Source organism: Homo sapiens, chromosome 2 (assembly GCF_000001405.40).
Source record: "Homo sapiens chromosome 2, GRCh38.p14 Primary Assembly".
Classification (NCBI taxonomy): Eukaryota; Metazoa; Chordata; class Mammalia; order Primates; family Hominidae; genus Homo; species Homo sapiens.
Genome location: NC_000002.12, coordinates 39,758,399 through 39,780,212, shown reverse-complemented (window position 1 = coordinate 39,780,212; position 21,814 = coordinate 39,758,399). Strand labels below are relative to the sequence as shown.

The window sequence follows — 21,814 nt, the reverse complement described above, 5'->3', positions numbered from 1 at the left end:
CTGTACGGCCCAGTAGAGCATGAGCTGGGTGGGGGCGGGGGTGTGTGTGGGAGTGTCGGGGGAGGTGAGGGAGTATCAGTTCTTCACCTTAACATCCCATTCTGAAGCACAGGACAGCCCCTTGTCAGAGACACACATGCATTTATCATTTCTGTATAACTGACTCAATATACAGCTACAGAGCTAATTTCACGCTGTTTATCTTGTAACATGGATTCTGTCTATGCTTCCCAAGTAATATTTTCATTTCCATTTTAAAATTCAGAGTTTAGAAAAATGCCTTCAAATACCGTTAGGAGAACCATTCAAATCAGGTGCCCAAAACTAGATGGCACATTGATTCATCTATGGCTGGATGGTTAACTAAGTAGTGCAAGAAATATGAGCTGTTTCAGAACGCAGACGTTTGTTAGAGAACAGGAACTTCTGCTCTCCGTCCTGGAGATTCCAACGTTTGGCCCGATTCTTTGTGAAAACAGACCAGGGCTCCTTCTATGAGAAGAGTAGAGGAGAGGAATGAAGGACAGGAAGAGGACGGAGTTGGGAGGAATGGAGGAAAAGGCATTATGTTAGATAGGGAGAAATCTAGGCTCCAGCCTCAGCTGTGCTGCTAACTCGCTGTCTCTTGACCTCTCTGGGCATTAATTTCCTCAATCTACAAAATAAGGCAACTGGACTGAATTATCAATTCTAACCCTTCCACCTGTGATTCTAACCCATTCTGGTGCCTAATCAAGGAGGGGACAGATGGTCAACCAGGAAGACCCATAGGGGCCACAGAGGGCTGATGCGACCCTCCCAGGCTCTCCGTCTCTCTCACCCTCTCCTTCCCCCTCCCTCTCCCCCTCCCCCTCTCCCTCTCCCTCTCCCTCTCCCCTTTGGCATCACACGCCCCTGCGCGCCGCCTCCAGGAGCGAGCCGCTCGCGCCCGAGGCCACGTGACCCGAAGGCGCGAGGGCGCGCCTGAGCCGCCATGTCGGAGGCGCGTGGAGAGCCAGGGTCCGGGCCTGAGGCTGGCGCCCGATTCTTCTGCACTGCGGGTCGCGGCCTGGAGCCGTTCGTAATGCGAGAGGTGCGGGCGCGGCTGGCGGCCACGCAGGTGAGTTGGCCTCGCTGCGCGCCTGGGGAGGTGGGCGGCCCTGTCCCTGCCCTGTTGCCCACCCCAGTCGTGGACGCGGGAAAGCGTCGCTGGCGCCCCTCTCTGTTCCACGCGACGGTCGCCGACCCCCGAGGTTGACTGGCAGGCGCTTCCGCTCCGGCCGAGAGAAGCCACCATTCCTTTCTTTCCTTGTATAGCAAATCCAGTTCCTCACTTCTCAGGGCTCAAGTTTTTAAGAGAGGTGTTGAGGCAAGTTATTTCCTGGATTCTTTAAAGTAGTAAGTAGTGCCTGTAATTAGAATCTGGCCTGTCAGAGTTAGAACCCTTCGCTCTTTAAATGCAAACATAATCTCCAAGTTCAGTTACCTGACTTTTTGTTAGTTTCTTGACAGTGATTGTATTTGACTACATAGGATTGTTGTGAGAATTAAATTATATAGCGTATGCAAAGTACACTTTAAACACGCAGTAAATAGCAGCCAGAAAAATAATATACTCTTGCAGGCCTCATAGTTATCTGTTATTGATTTCTGTGAAATGAACAAGGTTTTAAGCATCGGTTTAGGTTTTAGAATGTTGAAAACTGGTTTCTTGAAAGTAGGGGATGAAGGTATAATAGAAAAGGTATCTTGATGGGGTGTATGGGACACTGTGAGTGATGTACTCTTGGAAAAGGAGAGCTTCCTAAATGAAATTAACCCCTCCACCCTGGCAGCTCCTACAGTGTGGGAAGCCCACAAAAGGAGTTTCTGCAGTGAAAGGTTGGAGTCGTGAAGAATTATGTCAGTTTTGTTAGACTACCTGCCACTTGTGTTTTGGGTCACAGAATTTAATAGAGTATTGAATGTAGCTAATCTTAAAAAGCATCAATATATAATAACTACTGACATTTATTGAACATTTAATATGTGTCAGGCACATGTTCTTAGATCTTTACCCTATATTTATTTGCGTACTTTTCACAACAGCCCTATAAGGTAGGTGTTCCACATTTAACAGATGAGAAAAATGAAGCACAGGTAAGTCCGAGAATTTATTCAAGTCATGCAACTAGAAAATCGCAAAGATGGGATTCAAACCCGAGCTGGGAAATCAAGAATGAGTATATAATCATGTTCAAACCAGGCCCACTATATGACCATGACATAGGGGTGCGCTGGCTTGTTTTTTTAAATGCTAACTTAGAGTGCTTGGTATGAAAGAGAGAGAGAGCTTGGCCCAATTAATATGTAGGATTATTAGAAAAAGGAAAGACTCTCTGCTTGTTCTCCATCTTCTCTAAAGACAAATGAAATGGGGAAAACTTTATTACCAGGAAGAAAATTCAATTAAATACAGGGAAAACTTTTTGACAGTGGGAGTAATTAAATGCCAGTAGATTTGGGAATTTCCATATTCTGCTCTTGTATGTTTGAAAGATAGATAGGTCTGGAAATGGGATCTGAACAAATAATCTCTGAAATTCCACCCAAGTTGCTCTGATACAAAGTGAACTCTCAAAGTTAAGGCAATCCTGAAATAACAGTGATGACAACTAACATTTATTAAACACTTAAAATGTTAGACAAGTTATGTGCATGTTATGATTTAATCCTCAAAAGACTCCTATCTGATAGACTTTTACCTCCATATTTTACCAAAAAAAGAGAAAATTGGGACTTGTCTCTGAGTCTCTCTAGCTTTAAAGCCCATGTGCTTTACCACTAGGCTAAATTACCATGGGAATCTTCCCTGGAACATTGGATGTAGTTTATTTCTGTAACACCACGGTAGAGTACGTATGGTCTTTAGAATCAAAAGACCTGTGTGCAGATCTTATATATTCCTTTAGTGGATTTGTAACTTTGGGCAAATTACTCAAATTTCTGAGCCTCAATTTTCTTGGATGTAAAATAGAGATGATAGCTACTTTAAAGGATTACTGCAGTCCCTGAAATAAAGATAGCACAGGTAGCATGCTGCCTAACAAATAGTTGGTGCTCAATTTTAGTTCCCATACAATGAGTTGTACAGGAATACTTAAAACATTCTTTCAATGATAAGAGAGTGTTAGAAACTTTGGATCGCATCAAGGAAATTAACACTCTAAAATGTAAATTTACAAAACAGATTAATTCAAGAATGATTGTTTAAGAAAGTAATCACTTCATTTTAATGTGTTTTTCCAATTTTCATGAACATAAGAATCACTGAGGAAGCTTGTTGAAAATGAGTATTTCTGGGTGCCAGCCCCAAAAGGTTTTCTTTTAGTAGGGTGGCTGATAAGCCCAGGTGCTACCATTTTAACATGAAAACATGCTCCCCTCTCAGAGAACTCCCAACACACAGTTTGCAGTGGAAAATTTCCTGTGTATTCTTTTTAGCTTTTTATCATGGAGAATTTCAAAAATATACAAAAGTAAACAAAATAGTATGCCGAATCCAGCCTGGTATAGTGGCTCATGCCTGTAATCCCAGCACTTTGGGAGGCCAAGCCGGGCAGATTACCTGAGGTCAGGAGTTCGAGACCAGCCTGGACAACATGGTGAAACCCCGTCTCTACTAAAAATACAAAAATCCAGGTGTGGTGGCGTACACCTGTAGTCCCGGCTGTTCGGGAGGCTGAGGCACGAGAATTGCTTGAACCTTGGAGGCGGAGGTTGCAGTGAGCCAAGATCGCGCCACTGCACTCCAGCCTGGGTGACAGAGTGAGACTCCATCTCAAAAAAAAAAAAAAAAATAGTATACTGAGTCTCTATGGTGTAGTTTAACATGTTCCTCTATCCTCTGTATTTCCTGTAAGTTGGAATTCTGTAAGTTTTATCTAGAACTTGGTCAGATTCAGGTTTGATGTTTTTTCTCCCCTCTCGTTGTATGGCAAATTTCTTCATAAGTCCCTGGATGATGTTAAATATTTAATTTACATATCTACAAACACATATCACTTAGACTACTTTGAAGAAAGTAATATATTGAGAAAAATTAAGCTTTACTTCATAATGATGTTTAATGTATTATTAAGTACTGCTATTTATTGTAAGACTAGTAGTAGGATCAGTTATTTTAAGATAAAATTGAATGTTGTAGAGATATCTCTAATGTCAGTTCACCAGAAGAGTCCTGTCAGTTGATTCATTGATCTTTATAAACTCACATATCAAACACTATTAACACAGGTCCTGAATAGGCCACATAAATTTTTGTTTTTTAATGGTGGCATCACAGTCGAGGGTAATAGGGTAGAATTAAGCAGGAAGTCAAGTTATTCCATAGTTATTTTCATTTAATGGAATAATTGCATAAGGTTGCCTTAAAGATTTTCTGCATTCCCTTTAGATTGAATGCCTCTTTTTTTTTTTTTTTTTTTTTTTTTTGACATAGTGTTACTCTGTCGCCCAGGCTGGAGTGCAGTGGCGCAATCTTGGCTCACTGCAACCTCCGCCTCCTGGGTTCAAGCGATTCTCCTGCCTCAGCCTCCCAAGTAGCTGGGATTACAGGTGCCCAGCTAATTTTTGTATCTATAGTACAGACAGGGTTTCTGCTAAACATGTTGGCCAGGCTGGTCTTGAACTCCTGATTTCAAGTGATCCACCCGCCTTGGCCTCTCAAAGTGCTGGGATTACAGGCATGAGCCACCATGCCCAGCTGAATGCCCTTTTTACAAATTAAGTGAAACATATTTTTGAATTCCTTCTTCTAAAATAAACCAAAACAAACTCAAACAACACCTTAACCCATCACGTAGCACTTTCAAATTAATTCTGTAACTAAATGGCATCTGTAGAATTAGGAGACCTTTGGTACCTCCCTATATCATGATGTGTTTTTGCATAGATTTAAACTTTTTAAAAAAATCGTGACAGGATCAGGCTCTGTCACTCAGGCTAGGGAACAGTGGCGTGATCACAGATCACTGCAACCTTGATTTCCCCGGCTCAAGCAATCCTCCCACCTTACCCTTCTGAGTAGCCTCTTGGACTACAGGCATATGCCACTGTGCCCAGCTCATTTACTTTTTGTACCAACAGGGTCTCACCATGTTGTCCAGGCTGATCTCAAACTCCTGGGCTCAAGCAGTCCTCCCGCTTTGGCCTCCCAAAGCACTGGAATTATAGGCATGAGCTACCACATTCAGCCTAGATTTGAACTTTTAATCTTTGTGTTAAATTTGAATCCATGAATTTTAAAAGAAAGGAAAAATGCTGTTTAGATATGCTAGCAGATAATAGAGCTGTTATTAATCAAGGCTGTTACTTCATCTTCGGGAGTGTTATACATAAAACCAGCTGTTTTTAGATACTTGGTTATGATTTCATTCTAGATAGAAAAAAACAGATTGTATATATAAATAAATTTTCAGGTAAGAAACATGAGAATGAAATATTCCAAATGCCTTATTTCTCTGAGTGTTGTATTAAATATGAACAGTTACAAGCAGTAAAGAAAAAGAGAATTAGTAGCTTCAGCAGTTTTTGAAGTCATAAGCACCAAAATTCATTCTCCCTACTATTTTAAGGTATCATACCTATCTTCACAAAGAGTGAACTGTTTAAGTGCATTCACAGATAGGATTATTTGATTCTCACAGTGAGTACTATTTTACAATCTATTAAACTACAGTAAGTCCTCATTTAATGTCATCCGTAGGTTCCTGGAAACTGTGACTTCAAGCAAAAGGATGTATAATTAAATCATTTTTACCATAGGCTAATTGAAATAAACAAGAGTTCCTATAGCATATTTCTGGTCACAAAAATTTCACAAACTTCTAAATAGGTTATTTAGAACACTTCTGATAGTAAACGCTGAAATAACACTTCTAATGTTAAACATTGAAATAAATGTAATCTATACATACATTTAAGAAAGATTGATAAAAACAAGTAAGATAATTATTTATCCAACTGTTCCAGTTAAGTTATTCCAGGGTTTTCACTGGCCAGATCCTATCTTGGCAGCTCAGGGCACAAGGCGGGAACTAGCCCTGCATAGGATGCCATCCCATTGCCTGGCACACTCACACACACCCACATTTACTTGCACTGGGACCACGTAAACATACCAGTTACCTAACAGGCACACTCTGGGATGTCAGAGGAAACTGGGGTACTCAGAGAAAACCTATGCAGACATGGTTCACCCAGACAGTAGCCCTGGCTGGGAATTGGTATTTTTTCTTATCAATATCATAATGAAACCATGTTGAACGAAACAGTGTTATTCAAGGACCTGCTGTACTTCTGATAATATGCTTATTCTACAAGAAATGTAGGCCTTATGATAATTCGTAGAATAATGTTGCTGCTTTTGGTTTTGAGAATGTATAATTCTTAGAATAATGTTGCAGTTTTGGGTTTCAAGAATGTATTTGGCATTTTACTGCACCAATATATACTATTCTTATGATTTGATGCTCTAAATAAACTTTTTGGGTCCTCTTAATTAACTTAATAGTCGTGTTCTTTTTGGAAACCACTTGCCCCAGGGGGAAATATATATATTTTTAAAATATAAATATATATATATTTTTAAAATATAAATATATATATATTTTTAAAATATAAATATATATATATTTTTAAATATAAATATATATTTTATATATGTGTGTGTGTTAGAGAAAGCTCATCGGATAAAATGCTTCCCTTGATGTTTGAATAAGAAAAGAAGATCTTTGTACAAATAAGTAACTAAATATCTAGATCACTGGCTACTTAGGTTAAAGTCACTGGTCTAGATGTTTGCATCATTTTACTTGTTTACAGAATTTGAAACTTAAAATCATACATTTTCAGTAAAATATTTAGTTCGTTCCCCCAGAATCTTAGTAAAGTATTTCATCTGTTAAATTGTTCTATGATGGCTTTAGTATCAACTATATTCTTATGTCAGGTAACAAAATCTGAATTTTTGATAATTTACTTTTTGAAACTTTGTTTTCAAGTTTCTAAGCATTTTGAAGTATATACTTTAGTTTTGGGAAAATGTCACCTATGTAATGAGAAAGAAGTAAATTCTAGAAACCGGAAGTTCTGGTTTTGGTTACTTCACTATCCCCTTATATATTGATTCCTAAACATTCTTTTCATTCCCTGCTTCCTCCCATAATGTCATTGTCTGTTCCTCCATCTATTTTGGTCAGTGCTTTGCTGTCAGCTGTTTGAGTTTTAACTGTGCCAATCTAGCACTTCCTCAGGAGAGATTCTCTTTCATCAGCCTGGAGTAGCAACCCCAGAAATTACCATTCCAAGAGCTTAATTAGATCTTGACAGATCCAAAACAAGCATAAACCCTTGGAGTTCAAGTACCCATGGATGGTAGCTGCCTTAACACACAGGAAACCCCACATTCCCTGGTGTCTGTGTTCTAGGAGATTATTTAGAACCATGTTATTCAATTGGTGGCCACTGCTAAAAAGAGAATTCCAAGAAAGCCCACATCCATCCTGGACTTAAGAGGGTTGGGTTGACCCTAAAAGAGTTAAGATTCCACTGGTATTGAGCACCATTTGTCACAGCATGTTAGGCTTCCTGTGAGTCAGTGCTCTTTTCATTTTCCTTCTCTTGCCACATATCCATCCTGTCTCCAAAACCTGTTTCTGTTTGATGCATATGTCTTGCTTCTATTCATTATCTAGTTTCTGCAGCCAAGTATCTCATCATTTCTACCTTAGTAACCTACTTCTCCCTCTAGCATCACATTCTACACTCAGTCCTTTATGCCTCTTCTGGAGTAATTTTTTCTGCCAGCTAATTCAGTGCTGTCACAGTTTTCATCAAAAGTCTATAATGGTTGACCATTACCATTCGTGGTACTCAAAATTTCATGACCATTTGTCAAGCTGGCCTAAACTACTTTATCCATCCACCTGACACTATCAATCAGCATAATAAAGCAAATGTTGCTTACAGTTTACTTCAGCCAGGTTTTCACCCCCACTTCCGCATCTGCCCCTTGTTCTTTTGTTAGAATCCTTCTTCTCAAATCTTACAGGATTCTTTCCCAAGACTCTTTGTAATGTCGGCTTTCATAGTCATTGCTACTTAGTGTACTTACAGCTTGTCAGTGCATTATAATGTTAAAACTTTTTAGTTTTCTTCTGGATTTAATTCAAGTTATTGTCTTATAAATCTTATGTTTTAATGTGTATGTCAGTGTGTGTCTGTTATTATTCAGGATATATGTTTTATGCTTCCTGGTAGCCTACAGGTAGGTCTTCAATAAATATCCATCTTGGGCTAGACACCTAATTTGTCCAATACATTATACCTTTCTTTTGTCTACTTTTGGTGGTGATCGAATCTACCTTAGAGGGTGGTTATAAGGATAAGGAGGAAAATACTTATTCAGTGTTCCTAGTACAGAGCCTGACAAATAGTAGATACTTCAGAAATGGTTATTTTTATTTTTAATTTAGATGCTATATCTTGAGGGAAAAAATATGGTTTTTTCACTGACACTGGACTACATTAAAAGCTGTTTTTCTATTTCTAGGTTGAATATATTTCAGGAAAGGTTTTTTTCACCACCTGTTCTGATTTGAATATGTTGAAGAAATTAAAATCTGCAGAAAGATTATTTTTGCTGATTAAAAAGCAGTTTCCACTTATTATTTCTTCTGTAAGTAAAGGTATGGCATATTCATATGCATGTTGCTTTTACCCACATGATACATTGTACTCCAACATTTTCTGCTTGATAATATGTAGCCATTTTACACTTTAATATTCATTGACATGTGTGGGATCATTAATTATGTATTTTTCTGTATTTCCTGAATATTATCACCTGATTGTAGTAGAATATTTCTTCTCTTTGCAACCTGCGTGCTGCCTTTTTAATGAGATTTTAATGTCCTAAGCCACATTTCTTCTTTGAGAATTATGATCAGGTACCTTCTCTAGAGATATATATGGTCAGTTGCATTTATTTGGATTTAGAAACATGAACTAATCCAAAATGCATTCTTTTAATAGTAAATCAGTGAAAATCATCACCTTGTAAATTTTAACTGTGTGATATAATTGGAAAAATACTGCATAGTAAAAATTTATATTTCTAGGACCTTAAATGTTTTCGATAAACTTATGCCCACTTACCAAGCATTAGAGGTAAAGGGGGCATAAGAGATTCCTTGTCCACTCTCTAAATTTTATAAATATGCTGCTAAAACAACATATGGATCTTGATAAAAGCAGCAAAACATGGTCAGACACTGCAGGATTAAATGCTGCCGTAAACTTCAATTTGAATTACGTAAGAGATCATGTATTTATAGCCTATAATAAACTATTTTAAGAAAGATGCAAATGGCAAGAAATCAAGACCAAGCAGAGAAAATTGTTTTAAAGCAAATCCCAAAGTATTATACTGTGGGATCAATATAATTCCTCCTAGTACTCTACACACATTCATCTTAAAGAAATACAGTAATTTTGGATCATCTTGATGACTGTGGTTCATCAAGAAGAGATTAAACTTTGCTGAGCATACTGGCAGTATGCTAAGCTATAAATGGGTTGTGAGTTACTTTATGGAAACACATTATAATATACTTATTAATATGGTGTGGGCTAAAATGTAACAGGCCCAAGATTCAGCTCCTCTGTTTCTGAGCTGAGTTTTTCAGTTTATTTTTTTCTTATAAAAACTTAATTTTTATAGGGAAGATCACCATTATTTCAAAGATTGATAAACACTCTAGGTCTATGTATATATTGAAGAGATACATATATTACCATAGCACAAATAATCTTTCTAGGGTATTATATGGTAATTCTATAGGAATTTTAACACAATACGGATGCTATATATGCAATGTAAGAATGAACTTTATTCTGCACAATATTCTTATGGTAAATGGAATATGAACTCCAAATGAAAGTGAAGTTATTCGTGTAGCAATTTAATAAAACTTAATTCAAGGAAATAAAGGTAATTGAGTTTGAGGGTGATGATTGTAATAGATGGTCTTTAAAGCTTCAATAGAGGATCAACAAGATTTTTCTTATTTAGGAAAAATATTTAATGAAATGCAAAGACTTATAAATGAAGATCCAGGAAGTTGGTTGAATGCCATTTCAATTTGGAAAAATCTTCTTGAACTTGATGCAAAAAAGGAAAAACTTTCTCAGAGAGATGATAACCAACTAAAAAGAAAAGTGGGAGAAAATGAAATCATTGCAAAGAAATTAAAAATAGAACAAATGCAAAAGATAGAAGAGAATAGGGACTGCCAGCTGGAAAAACAAATAAAAGAAGAAACTCTGGAGCAAAGAGATTTTACCACTAAAAGCGAAAAGTTTCAAGAAGAAGAATTTCAGAATGACATAGAGAAAGCAATTGATACTCATAATCAGAATGACTTGACTTTCAGAGTATCTTGTCGCTGCAGTGGAACTATTGGAAAGGCCTTCACTGCACAGGTATGCTTGCATCCTAAAGTGGAGTCTGTCGCCCAGGCTGGAATGCAGTTGCACAATCTGGCTCACTGCAACCTCCACCTCCCAGGTTCAGGTGATTCTTTTGCCTCAGCCTCCTGAGTAGCTGGGATCACAGGTGTGCGTCACCACACCCAGCTAATTTTTGTATTTTTAGTAGAGACAGGGTTTCACCATATTGGTCAGGCTGGTCTGGAACTCCTGACCTCAAGTGATCCAACCACCTCGGCCTCCCAAAGTGCTGGGATTACAGGCGGGAGCCACCATGCCTGGCCTGGGGGTCCCATTTTTTAAAGAATTAATTATTCTTTAGATTTAAAATGAGATGCAAACCTCTCACAGAACAAATAACTAGCCGCAGACAATTAGTTCTTATGGAATTAAATGTCTTTAAAACTACATTTTCCTTTTAATTTTTCCTCAGATGTTTAAGAGGAATGGTATGCCATTCCAAGTAATGACTTTCTTATACTTTCTGCCTAAAAATTTCCTTAAATCTACAGATGTCCTTTGTATTTGGAAATCCTGATACCATAGTCCTCAGCTTTTGGGGTTTCTCTTCAGTTCAGCTTTGTGCTTATTCAGTGGCTACTCTGCACAGGTCCTGTACATGGGATTGTCACCAGGACCTAGACTGCAAATGCACATGAGGTCTCAGCAATGTAGAGAAGAGCGAACACCACAAACTGTTGCCATCACCAGACCTCATCAGTTGGCCCTTACAAAGTTCAGTGATGTTAAAGGCCATTGGTCTGAATACTTTATCAACCTTAAAATCAGTCAAACCCTAAAGGGTGAGTCTAATGATACTAATCTGATAATTTTTAAACACATAGGCTTATAGTAGCTGACATAGTTAATCTTTCAGCTTGCATCTATTTCCTGAAACCCAGAATGATCATATTTATCAGGTCATAATCTAGTTATTTCATATACCTAAAATTACAAGGATAGAGATTATGCATGAGTAGACATTAATGCCATGGGGTGTACTGGGGGCTAGGGCAGGTAAAATACAGCCTTACTGCCTTGAATAGGAAATGCTTTCATGTACAATTTTAATATCAGAACTCTAAATTACCATCAGATAGCCTGACTTGATTTTCTTATAGGCTACTCTGTTAGTTTTGCTGACATTTAAACTTAAAATTTTCATTTTTAGTATTCTTTTCTTTAACTTGGTACTTTTCCAGGAGGTAGGAAAAGTAATTGGAATTGCTATTATGAAACACTTTGGATGGAAAGCAGACTTGAGGAATCCACAATTAGAGGTAATGAGTATTTGTTTTATTTTATATACTTGTAACCTAATTCTTTAAAGACAGTGTCCTGTATTCTTATCATACTTTTCCGTTTTATTTTACAGTTATAAAAAGTGTATCTACAGGGATCCAACAGTCCATTTTATCTTTAGCAGTAGAATAGTACAGATAGTTTTGCTAGCAGTTTTCACTGAGAAAATGTCTTATGCAAACTCCAAAAAAAGATTTTTTGGAATGGAGTTGTCTGGTCACAGTTGAAGAAAAAAACATTTATTATGAGGTTACAGCGATGTTCTCTATAGTCTCTATAATACACACAATCTGTGATTTTAAAAATTTTAGCTAATATTAAAAAAATGGATAACAACAAAGTCCTACACAAAATTCAATAGTATGTTAATAGTGGCTTTGTTATGGGTATGGGATTATGTTTTTATTTTCCAAAATTAATAAGGTTACAGTATTTTTATTTGGAACAAACAAGTATTTGTATGGGGAAACAAAAAATATTCTTTGCTATTTTTTGAAAGCCATCTTATAAAGTTGACGTATAACCAATCATTTTCATGATTCATTAATTCATAAATTTATTTATTACTTGTTATGTAGGTTTAAATGGAGTAATAACTGGCCAAATAAATCAGAACATTGTGTGTTGTTTTATTTTTAGATTTGCGCTTGTCTGACATTTGTCACTTTAAAAAAATAATACCTGGTATATATTTTTTATTGTTTGTCATACTAAATGTTTTGATCCCAAGAATGTTTTGACATACGAGTATCATTCTCTTATCTGCCCCTTTCCAATTCTTTTTTTTTTTTTTTTTTTGAGACGGAGTCTCGCTCTGTCGCCCAGGCTGGAGTGCAGTGGCGGGATCTCGGCTCACTGCAAGCTCCGCCTCCCGGGTTCACGCCATTCTCCTGCCTCAGCCTCCCAAGTAGCTGGGACTACAGGCGCCCGCCACTACGCCCGGCTAATTTTTTGTATTTTTAGTAGAGACGGGGTTTCACCGTTTTAGCCGGGATGGTCTCGATCTCCTGACCTCGTGATCCGCCCGCCTCGGCCTCCCAAAGTGCTGGGATTACAGGCGTGAGCCACCGCGCCCGGCCCCCTTTCCAATTCTTAATCATCTTCTCTCTGGCTTTCTCGTCCCCATCTCCCTGAGTCCATCTCATTGTCTCAGAATTGTTTTTCTCATAGATTATCTCATAAATAAATATAGCAAATTCAATTCCTATCAGCCATTTAATGCAATTAATAATAGCTATTATGGATACAAATAATTAACACAAAATTGGCAACACAAAAATCACACGTAGTAAAATTTGTGACTAAAAAATTGACAGAGGAATCAAATCTCAACAAATTTCCTTCTGCAAAATTGATAGGAAAACATTTATAGTGGGAGAGGCTATTCTTAATAACATTTGATATATGAACATGTCGTATCTTTAGAATAAATTGTCAATAGAAAACAATTCTAATAAATAGTTTTGCTAAAATGCATAATATGTAAAATTGGGAAGTTTAGCTGTGATGTATCAGTTAATCAGGTAATTAAATTGACCAAATGGAATCACTCCAGGTAAGTCTTTTCTTGATGAAATTGATCAATATTGGAATAATTCTGATTAAGCTGTTAATATTTAAAGTTATCTTGGGGTGCGAGTATCAGGGACCAGATATTCTTGAGGTTCATAACAGCATTTAAAATATTCTGTAAACCTTATCAGGCTACAAAAGTAAGATTCTAGCTTTTAAAATTTATGTTGGCTACTAATTATAATGTGGGGCGCTTAAATACTCTTCATGGCCTAACAGAAGAAAGAAAATAAAGAAAGACAGAAACTTATAGAGAAAACAGCACCCTTGCTGCCATATATTTGGCCTAAACAAAGTTTTCTGTTACCCTGAAAGTATTTGCAGCCTCTGATAGTCCTGTGTGGCCTCGCATCCTATTTGAGGTTAAAATGAGGGTGGATTTAGAAAATCTTCTCAACGCAAAATACTGAAAAGCGTGGTCCACTTATGATAATTCCTAGAATCTCTAGGAAGAAAGTTGGTTTTGAGTTCTTTGTAACATGACTCTCCTATATAATAAATTGACCTCAGAATTTTTCTATGAAATGTACTTAAAATTTAGTTTCCTTCTGCTTAAGAAAAAAAAAGATTATAGAACATTTTTCTAGATATGATGAATAAGGCCTTGGAGTTTCTTTTTAAAACATAGATCATGTAAGTTTAAAATGGAAATTTCAAATTGTCAGTAATTTGGTAATGAAGTTTCTTGTTCCATTCTAACTTCTGTGTTTGTTCTTTCAGATCTTTATACATCTAAATGACATTTACTCTGTGGTGGGGATTCCTGTGTTCAGGTAGATATTCTAAGCTTCCGGTTTGTCCCATAAGACAGATGGTTAAATTAAGAACTTGTGTTTTTTATTTACAGCATGAATGAAGCATTCATATAACAGAGAAGGCTAAAGGCAAAGCATTTGAATTCTTTGCTTAAGACAATAAAGTATTTTCACGGAACTTAGTGGATATGATTTGAACTGACCAGTTAGAGCTGGGAAATATTTGGTCATGGTAATCTACTGATTACATGATTAATACTGAAAATTATATCTAGTTCTATTATTAAATGGTTTTCACAGCCCTATACCTATACCTAAAAGGCTTCTAGGCTGCCCTACTCCAGTGCCTTTAATTTGAACAGTTTTGCCTATATGGTTTTTTTAAATTCTTTGACAATTTTAAAGACAGAAAGGGTGGAGAAAACGAAAAGATGGACATATTTTAGCAATTATATTAAGTATAATTATTGATGATCACCAAGACAAAAGTAGGAAACACTAGCAAAACAAGCAAAATATAAAATGTATATTTTTTTAAATTTATAAAGTAGTTAATTTTTTTTTTAATACTTTGACCCCCAAAAAGTGAGCCTAAGTATCTAAAAAATTTACTTAGGGACCGGGCGCGGTGGCTCACACCTGTAATCCCAGCACTTTGGGACGCCGAGGCAGGCAGATCACGAGGTCAGAAGTTCAAGACCAGCCTGACCAACATGGTGAAGTCCCGTCTCTACCAAAAATACAAAAATTAACTGGGTATGGTAGCAGGCACCTGTAATTCCAGCTACTCAGGAGGCTGAGGCAGGAGAATCACTTGAACCCAGGAGGCGGAGGTGGCCATGAGCCAGAATCATGCCATTGCACTCCAGCGTGGGTGACAGAGTGAGACTCTGTCTCAAAAAAACAAAAAAATTTAGGAAGAGTATCTCACCCGTAGCAGTGCTGAGTGTGGTATTAATTAGATTCTTACCACCAAATAAAATAACTCATTTTTAAATTATTATATATAAAAATGCTTAATTTTGTGCTTCTTATTTAACTAATATAACTTTATATTAATGTTTTTTAAAAGGTATTTGATTATTTAAAATTATTTTAATGCTTGCTAGAAACATTCAAGACGTCATGCCATGGCATTTCAAATAATAATTGATAGTGTACCTTGAAGTTTACAAATAAAAGATATGTATCTGAAAATTAAGACTGAGACCTTGAATGAGCACTAGTTGAAAATGAGGTTACAACAGATGCTCTGTGTTTAGTCAGTTTGACTACCTCAGTGTAGGAAGGAAGCAGTCTCAGTGATGAGTGTTGGCTAAAAAGAACAATTTACCGGGACATGAAAAGGGAGACATGAAGACTTGCACAACAGATAGCACTGGACAAGAGAAGTGACAGTGGATAACAGAAACTGCAACCTGGTGACCCTAACAACAGAAGAAAGTCTGAAATGATGAAACAAAGTAGAGAGCACCATGAAGTTAAAGGATCACATAAAAATTTGTCCTAAGTTCCTAAAGACATTGTTCATATTTGAGTTTTACTTTCTTTAAAGGAAAAAACCATTTGGATATCAATAGCCCCATGAAGCATTAACTGTATATAGCTGTTGCCACTCTGTACACATCACCTACTACAGTATAGCATAGCAGATAAGAACTGTGGACTTGAATTCTATCTTCTCCACAAATTATTATAACTCTGCAAGTTTGGGCAAGTTATCATATTTCTCTGCTATAAAATCAGGAAAATAATAGTACCTACTTTATAGCTTCGTCCTTGGGATTAAATGAGATAACCCACGTGAAAATCTTTCCTGCTGTTTCTAGGATACAGTAAGCATTGAATAAATTTCAACTTTTGAAACAGTTCAATCCAGTGTTAGCACAGATCTGTGATAAATGCTTGATTAGAGTTAGGAAAGAGAAACTAACTCTAATTACGGACCTGTGAGCAGAAAGATAAAGGATTGTCCCTAAGAGGAGACTTGAAAGCAATAAGAAAGTGTATGCCGCATGGAGAAGAGAAGGAAAGGGTATTACAGGCAAGGAATCTCTGTGCAAAGGCACAAGGTATAAGGAAGCTTGATTTACATGGAGGATGGCAGGTAGTTTCAGTGTAGTTGGGACATAGAGAAAGTGGTAGAAAATTAGAAACAAGCCATGAAGTGCCTTGTTTAAGTATGTATAAGGAAGTTTGATTTACATGGGGGATGGCAGGTAGTTTCAGTATAAATGGGACATAGAGAAAGTGGTAGAAAATTAGAAACAAGCCATGAAGTGCCTTGTAAATATGTTAAACAGCTTGGATGTTATCCTTAAAGCAATAAGAATTTGAAGCAGAAGAGTGATGTGATCAGATTTGTGATTTCAAAAAAATTACCAAGAAAATTATATTTTTAAATGAAAGGGAAATAAAAAGAGAGAAGGAGAGGATTTAAACTCTTGGAGGTAACAAAAAGGCCATGAAATCAAAAAATAGTTAAGGAGTCTAGAATAATTTCAGATTTCTGATTTGAACAATTAGTAAATACTGGTATTAGTCACTGAGATACAAAATGTAGGGAAAGAAAACAGTGTATTCAGTGAAAAATGTCCAAGTAGATATTTGAAGTTACAGATCTAGAGTTCAGGTGACAAGTGTAGACTGAAGAGGTAGAGTATGGTACCCAATATATGGATAGTACGTGGCACAAGAAAATGAAGAAATGTATCAATATATGAAATCCAGGATAGTGTATTCAGTTTATACCTGTTGACTTTGCACTACTTATCTTCCACATAAAAATGTTCAAGCACATATTTGAAGATAAAGATCTGGGGTTCAGGTAACAAGTCTAGGCTAGAGATATAGATTAGGACGTCTTTGTCTTGGTGGTACAAGGTGTACAAGAGAAAAAAAAATGCACACATGCAGAGAAGAGGATCAAAAACCACATTTATTTTTGAACCGTGTACATTAGCTAGGTTCTCTGAAAGTAAAGCATTATTTTTATTTTCAAGGAGTTTATTTCTGAACGTGCCTTCTTCTGAATAATTTTGTTATACTGATATAATGGGGCCCTTTTGTTGAAGTAATGAGATAATTTTGCCCAGGTTTAAGCAAAATGTGAACATTCACTTTTGTCAAATATTAATAGAATTATGTCCCACAAAAACTTCTATTAGCAGAAATATATACATAGTTTTTGAAACTTTGAAAGGTTCCATATAAATTCCTGCTGCTTAGAAGAGCATTTTTTCATATATATGGACAAAGCTGGTTTCCCATACTGCGTCTCCCTTTTTGGTATCTAGAATGCAAACTCTGTTTTATAGTTTTGGCATCTAGAATGCAAACTGTGTTTTATAACTTTGGTATCTAGAGTGCAAACTGTTTTATAGCAAGATAATTGCTAAGCTTACCCCGTAGAAGCAAAATTCACTGGCCAAAATATTTTATAGTGTTTCTACCTGCCAGTTTACATCCCTCATTCCAAATGTATATATACAGTACTGTTTACAATGTGAATTGTTGTTTCTTGAAAAAACTTTATTAAAAAGCCAAACTCCCATGGGTTTGCCATGTAGAACTTCCTCATTATAATAGCAAGTATACAATTACACTGTTTTATTTTAAAGGGGTATATCATTTAGTTCTAAGATTTTAAGAGGCTTGCAATAAATACAAAAACAGGATAAGTTAAAGTCAAAGAAAGATGAGAGGCAAAATGGTGAAAGAAAGAAATGTTTAATATTCACATACCTAGAATTCTGTTGAACAACCTTAAGGAGGGTTTGAAGAAAATCATGGCTTTCCGTAATGTTCGTAGAAGACCTCTTTTGCTGGTTTTGGAAGAAGCCAACCCCAAGACAAACCCACACAAATTCTTGACATCATGTCTTCGTACCTTACCAACAAATTGTAGAAGTGAACTAGAAAAGCTTGGAAAGTTGTAATTTCCAAGGAGATTCTGCTTGTTCATTGCATTAGAAAGACAGAAATAATAGATGACATTTTGAAAATTTCTATCAAATCTGGAAACATTGATGTGATAGTGGCATTGATGAGGTGGAGGATAAAGTGTGAACTGATGCTTTTTGGAGACCAGTGAACTCATTTGGGAGATGTCTGCTTTGGCCCATCATCCAGTAAATTATTTTAGACAATGCAATGTCATGCTTCATTTCATCTTTTGGGAAAGATGCAAATAACCAAAAAACAAACCTACAAAAGGGACTTTTTATAGAAAACAGATTTTAAGGGTTAGCATCCCTTCAGTTCTACTTCCCATACTACATTTATATCACAAAATAGTACATTCCCCTTCATGACTTCAAATAGCAAAAAAAGGTCTACTCTGTATGGGAAGACAGGGAAGTATAAGAAAGATTTTCCTCATGTGTAATTACATTTTTATACATTAAATACGTGAGAGTGTAAATTTCAGTTGTCTAAAAATTTACCTTTCTGAAATTCAACACTGGCTGGGTAGACAAGGTGCCCATTAGAGAAGCAATTTTTGTAATAAGACTGAAACATTGTCTAACTTAGGGAATACTTTAGTGTATGTTGGATGAATATGTTTAAATGATTCTCAGATTTGGACAGGTAAATCATTTTTATATCTTGTTGTTCAATGTGTAATAATATATAATCAGATTCTATCCTTTGTAGGGTTTCCCTAGCCAGCAGAGCTTACATCAAGACAGCTGGACTGCGATCTACAATAGCGTGGGCAATGGCATCTCTGGCTGACATTAAGGTAAGAAAAATGTTTTCCTTCCTGTTAATAGCAAGGTTCTTTTCATAATTAACTTATACAGTCTCTTATTGATGGATATTTATGTTACTTGCTTTTTCTTTTCTTGACGCTTTTTCTTTAACTTCTTTTCTTTTTGCCATTGTACTTACAAACTGCTGCAGTAATGCTTTTATATATTATTGAACTTCTGAGAGTATTTTGGCTCTGAAAAAGCTGAGTCAAAAGTTAGCTACATTTCATTATTTCTAATGTTTTGTGTCACAGTTAGAAAATGTGGCCTGTAAAACCTCCTATTCTTAAAGTTTTTGTCTGTGACCAAGATCTTGGTCAATTTTTGTAAATGTTCTATGGACATAAGATGACTTTATCTTCTAGTGAAGAAATGTTCTCCATTATTTTTACTTACTGTGTGTTTCACTGCTCCATTTTGAAAGAAGTTTTTGAAATCTCATATTGTATTTTTTTAAGTTTTTGCATTTTTATGAGTTGTTGAATTATTCAGCTGTCATGTGGCTTGGTATATACATGTTCATGACTATCAATACATCATTGTGAAGTGTGCCTTTTTGTTACTTAAGTCCTCTTTATCTTGGTTAAGTTTAAATTTAAGTCTCACTGTCTTACTAATATTTTCACTCCTTTTTGTTTGCATCAGCCTAGTATTTCTTTGCCACTGCTTTTTTTTCAACTTTACATATTTTTTACAAACACATAGCTATTTTTACTCCACTCTGATGGTCTCTCTTTCAGTGAGAGAATTCAGTAAATGTTGTGACAGATAGACTTGATTATATTCTTCCTGTTTTTATTCTGTTCATAACTTCTCACACTTTGTTTCCTTCTCTTATTTTCGCTAGTTTGACCAAGTTACTTGCTAATCATTTCATTGTTCTCTTTGTGGTTAGAGATTTTACTTCATTGTTCTATTCCATTACAGTCCTTTTCCCAGCTCTCTTAACTAAATATATATGACTCTACTCTTAATTTAAAACAGAACATCAACTACTCCCTCTGCCAAGACACACCGTTTTTACCAAGGCACTCCAATTTTCCCCAACTTCCCCCTCTTCCCTGTCATAAGATGAGACCTTTAGAGTACTTTTTTCTCTTCTCCTCTCTACAGTGAGACCTTTGAACATTTTTACCCCTTTCTCTCCCAAGCCCCAACTACTGGAGAAGCTAAGTTATTTATTATGTACCAGAACTTTCCTTGAGTATGCTCTTGGGTTTCAAAAGTTCTTAGCACTTACACAGCCTATTCTTAGTCATTAGATAGAATTCCACGTAATACACACATATTTTTATATACACACACACTAAGATACATTACAAGGTTTATTGCTTTTTGCCATTTCTCTTCTTCTCTTTGTCTTGCCCTGTTTGAGGCCTCTGCTCTGGTTTACTTATTGCTTGGGTAAAGTCTTGTCTTAGGTATTTTCCTCAAATGTGGTATTTAAACGATATACTGTCTGAATTCTTTGTATCTTCAAATTTCTTCCTGTTATCCTGGGTATCTCTATCTTGGCTGGGTATAGGATTCCTGAATTGCAGTTCTTTTCTCTCAGAGGTCTGTAGATGCTGTTCCATTGTCATTTAGCTTCCGGTGACACAGATGAGCAGACCATGCCAGTGGGATTTTTTCTTTTCCTTTATAACTACTTTGTTCCTTCTTTTTGGAAACTTGTAAGGTGTTTCTCTTTAATCTTAAAGCCAAGGAATGTCACCAGAACATGCTTATGTATATGTCTTTTCTATTTAGCCCAGACCTTGTTGAGTCTTAGATTCTGGCCATCACTTTCTGGGTGGGAAGCTTTGGGCGGAATACTTAAGATCTTTGTGCCTCAGTTTCTCATTTGCAAGATGAAAAGAGTAGTAATATCTCATGGGATCATGACAAGATTAAATGAATTAGCATTAATAAAATGATTAGAACAGTGCCTAACATACAGAAAGTGTCTAAGTATTAGCTGCCATTTTGGTAATAATAAATAATTATACCAAAATTGTAGTTAATAACTAGAACTATAATTACTATTTCAAATATATAATTATAAAAATTATTATTTATTTTTACTTCTCCGGCCTAAGCACTTTTTCTTCCATTATTTAATTATTGCCTCAACTATTTAGTGAATTTAACTTTAAACTACTCTCTTTTTCCTACTTCTGAAATTCCTATTATGAACATGTTAAGCTTCCTGGCTCTATCCTCCAAGTCTCCTATCCTTTTGACATGATTTCCCTCTCTTTATATTTTGGCCCTGCATTTTTAGTTATTCTTGAACATTATCTTCCAAATTACAAGAGTCACAGAGACATGCTCTATTTTAATTTATTTATATTTTTAGCTTAAAAAAATCCTGACTTTTTAGCTTCAAAAGGTATGTGTGTCACATTTGAGTATCTCTGAAAGCTCTTCTTTTATTCAAATATTGATCTGTGTTCTCCAGTAATTAGTAATTCTATTTTACTGGGTGTGTGTTCCGATTATTCTGCCTATTTACTCTAAAACTACTGAGGGACCTCCTCCTTTTTTTTTTTTTTTAGATGTGCCATTGGTTTTTGTTTGTTTTTGTGTTTTGTTTTAGCTCACTAGGACTAAAATGTGACTGTTAAGTATTTTAAATGGCCAGAATCCTATAAATGGTAAAAGGCAAATGGATCTCTGGCACCCCAGGCTCAGCAGTGTAAAGAGAATCTGTCAGTCCTGCTGAGATACCTGGAGGAAGCTTCTCTATTCACTGACCTCTCTTTGAGTCCATAGATCTCTGAAGACCAAGCTCTTCCCTAATTCCACTGATTCTCCCCTCTGGGTTCCACTGCTGTTCTCTAATCACTACCCAACCCACAGCAGGGAGGCCCCACACATGTTCCTTTTTCTGGGACTGTGACAGAGCCTAGGGCTTCTCTTAGCGCCAGTTGCCTCTAGGTC

The 21,814-nt window shown here is 36.4% G+C and overlaps 1 protein-coding gene across 21 annotated transcripts in view, besides 1 other annotated feature; it reads left to right on the top strand.

Moving 5' to 3' along the window:
- Positions 1–936: 936 nt before the first annotated feature.
- Positions 937–21,814, top strand: part of THUMPD2 (THUMP domain 2 tRNA and snRNA guanosine methyltransferase) — a 43,217-nt gene continuing 22,339 nt past the window's right edge. For 3 of the 21 annotated variants that reach the window (NR_135662.1, NM_001321469.1, NM_001321475.1), the window contains exons 1-6: positions 937–1,099; positions 8,573–8,698; positions 10,094–10,503; positions 11,712–11,789; positions 14,104–14,156; positions 18,795–18,882. Coding sequence is in view for 14 of the 21 variants with exons in the window: in NM_001321469.1 (NP_001308398.1) it covers positions 10,111–10,503; positions 11,712–11,789; positions 14,104–14,156; positions 18,795–18,882 (612 nt within the window). In the remaining 7 variants the exon portion in view is untranslated. Of the gene's footprint in view, positions 1,100–8,572; positions 8,709–10,093; positions 10,504–11,021; positions 11,790–14,103; positions 14,157–18,794; positions 18,883–21,814 lie in introns of those variants that run through there. The other 18 variants (NR_028102.1, NM_001321474.1, NM_001321468.1 and 15 more) reach the window with 11 other exon arrangements.
- Positions 7,287–8,267: an enhancer, noted in NCBI's record as "NANOG hESC enhancer chr2:39999086-40000066 (GRCh37/hg19 assembly coordinates)". NCBI's record gives its function as "activates a minimal SCP1, AML or CMV promoter by ChIP-STARR-seq in naive H9 embryonic stem cells {active_cell/tissue: H9 hESC(naive)}" and the evidence as "EXISTENCE:reporter gene assay evidence [ECO:0000049][PMID:30033119]".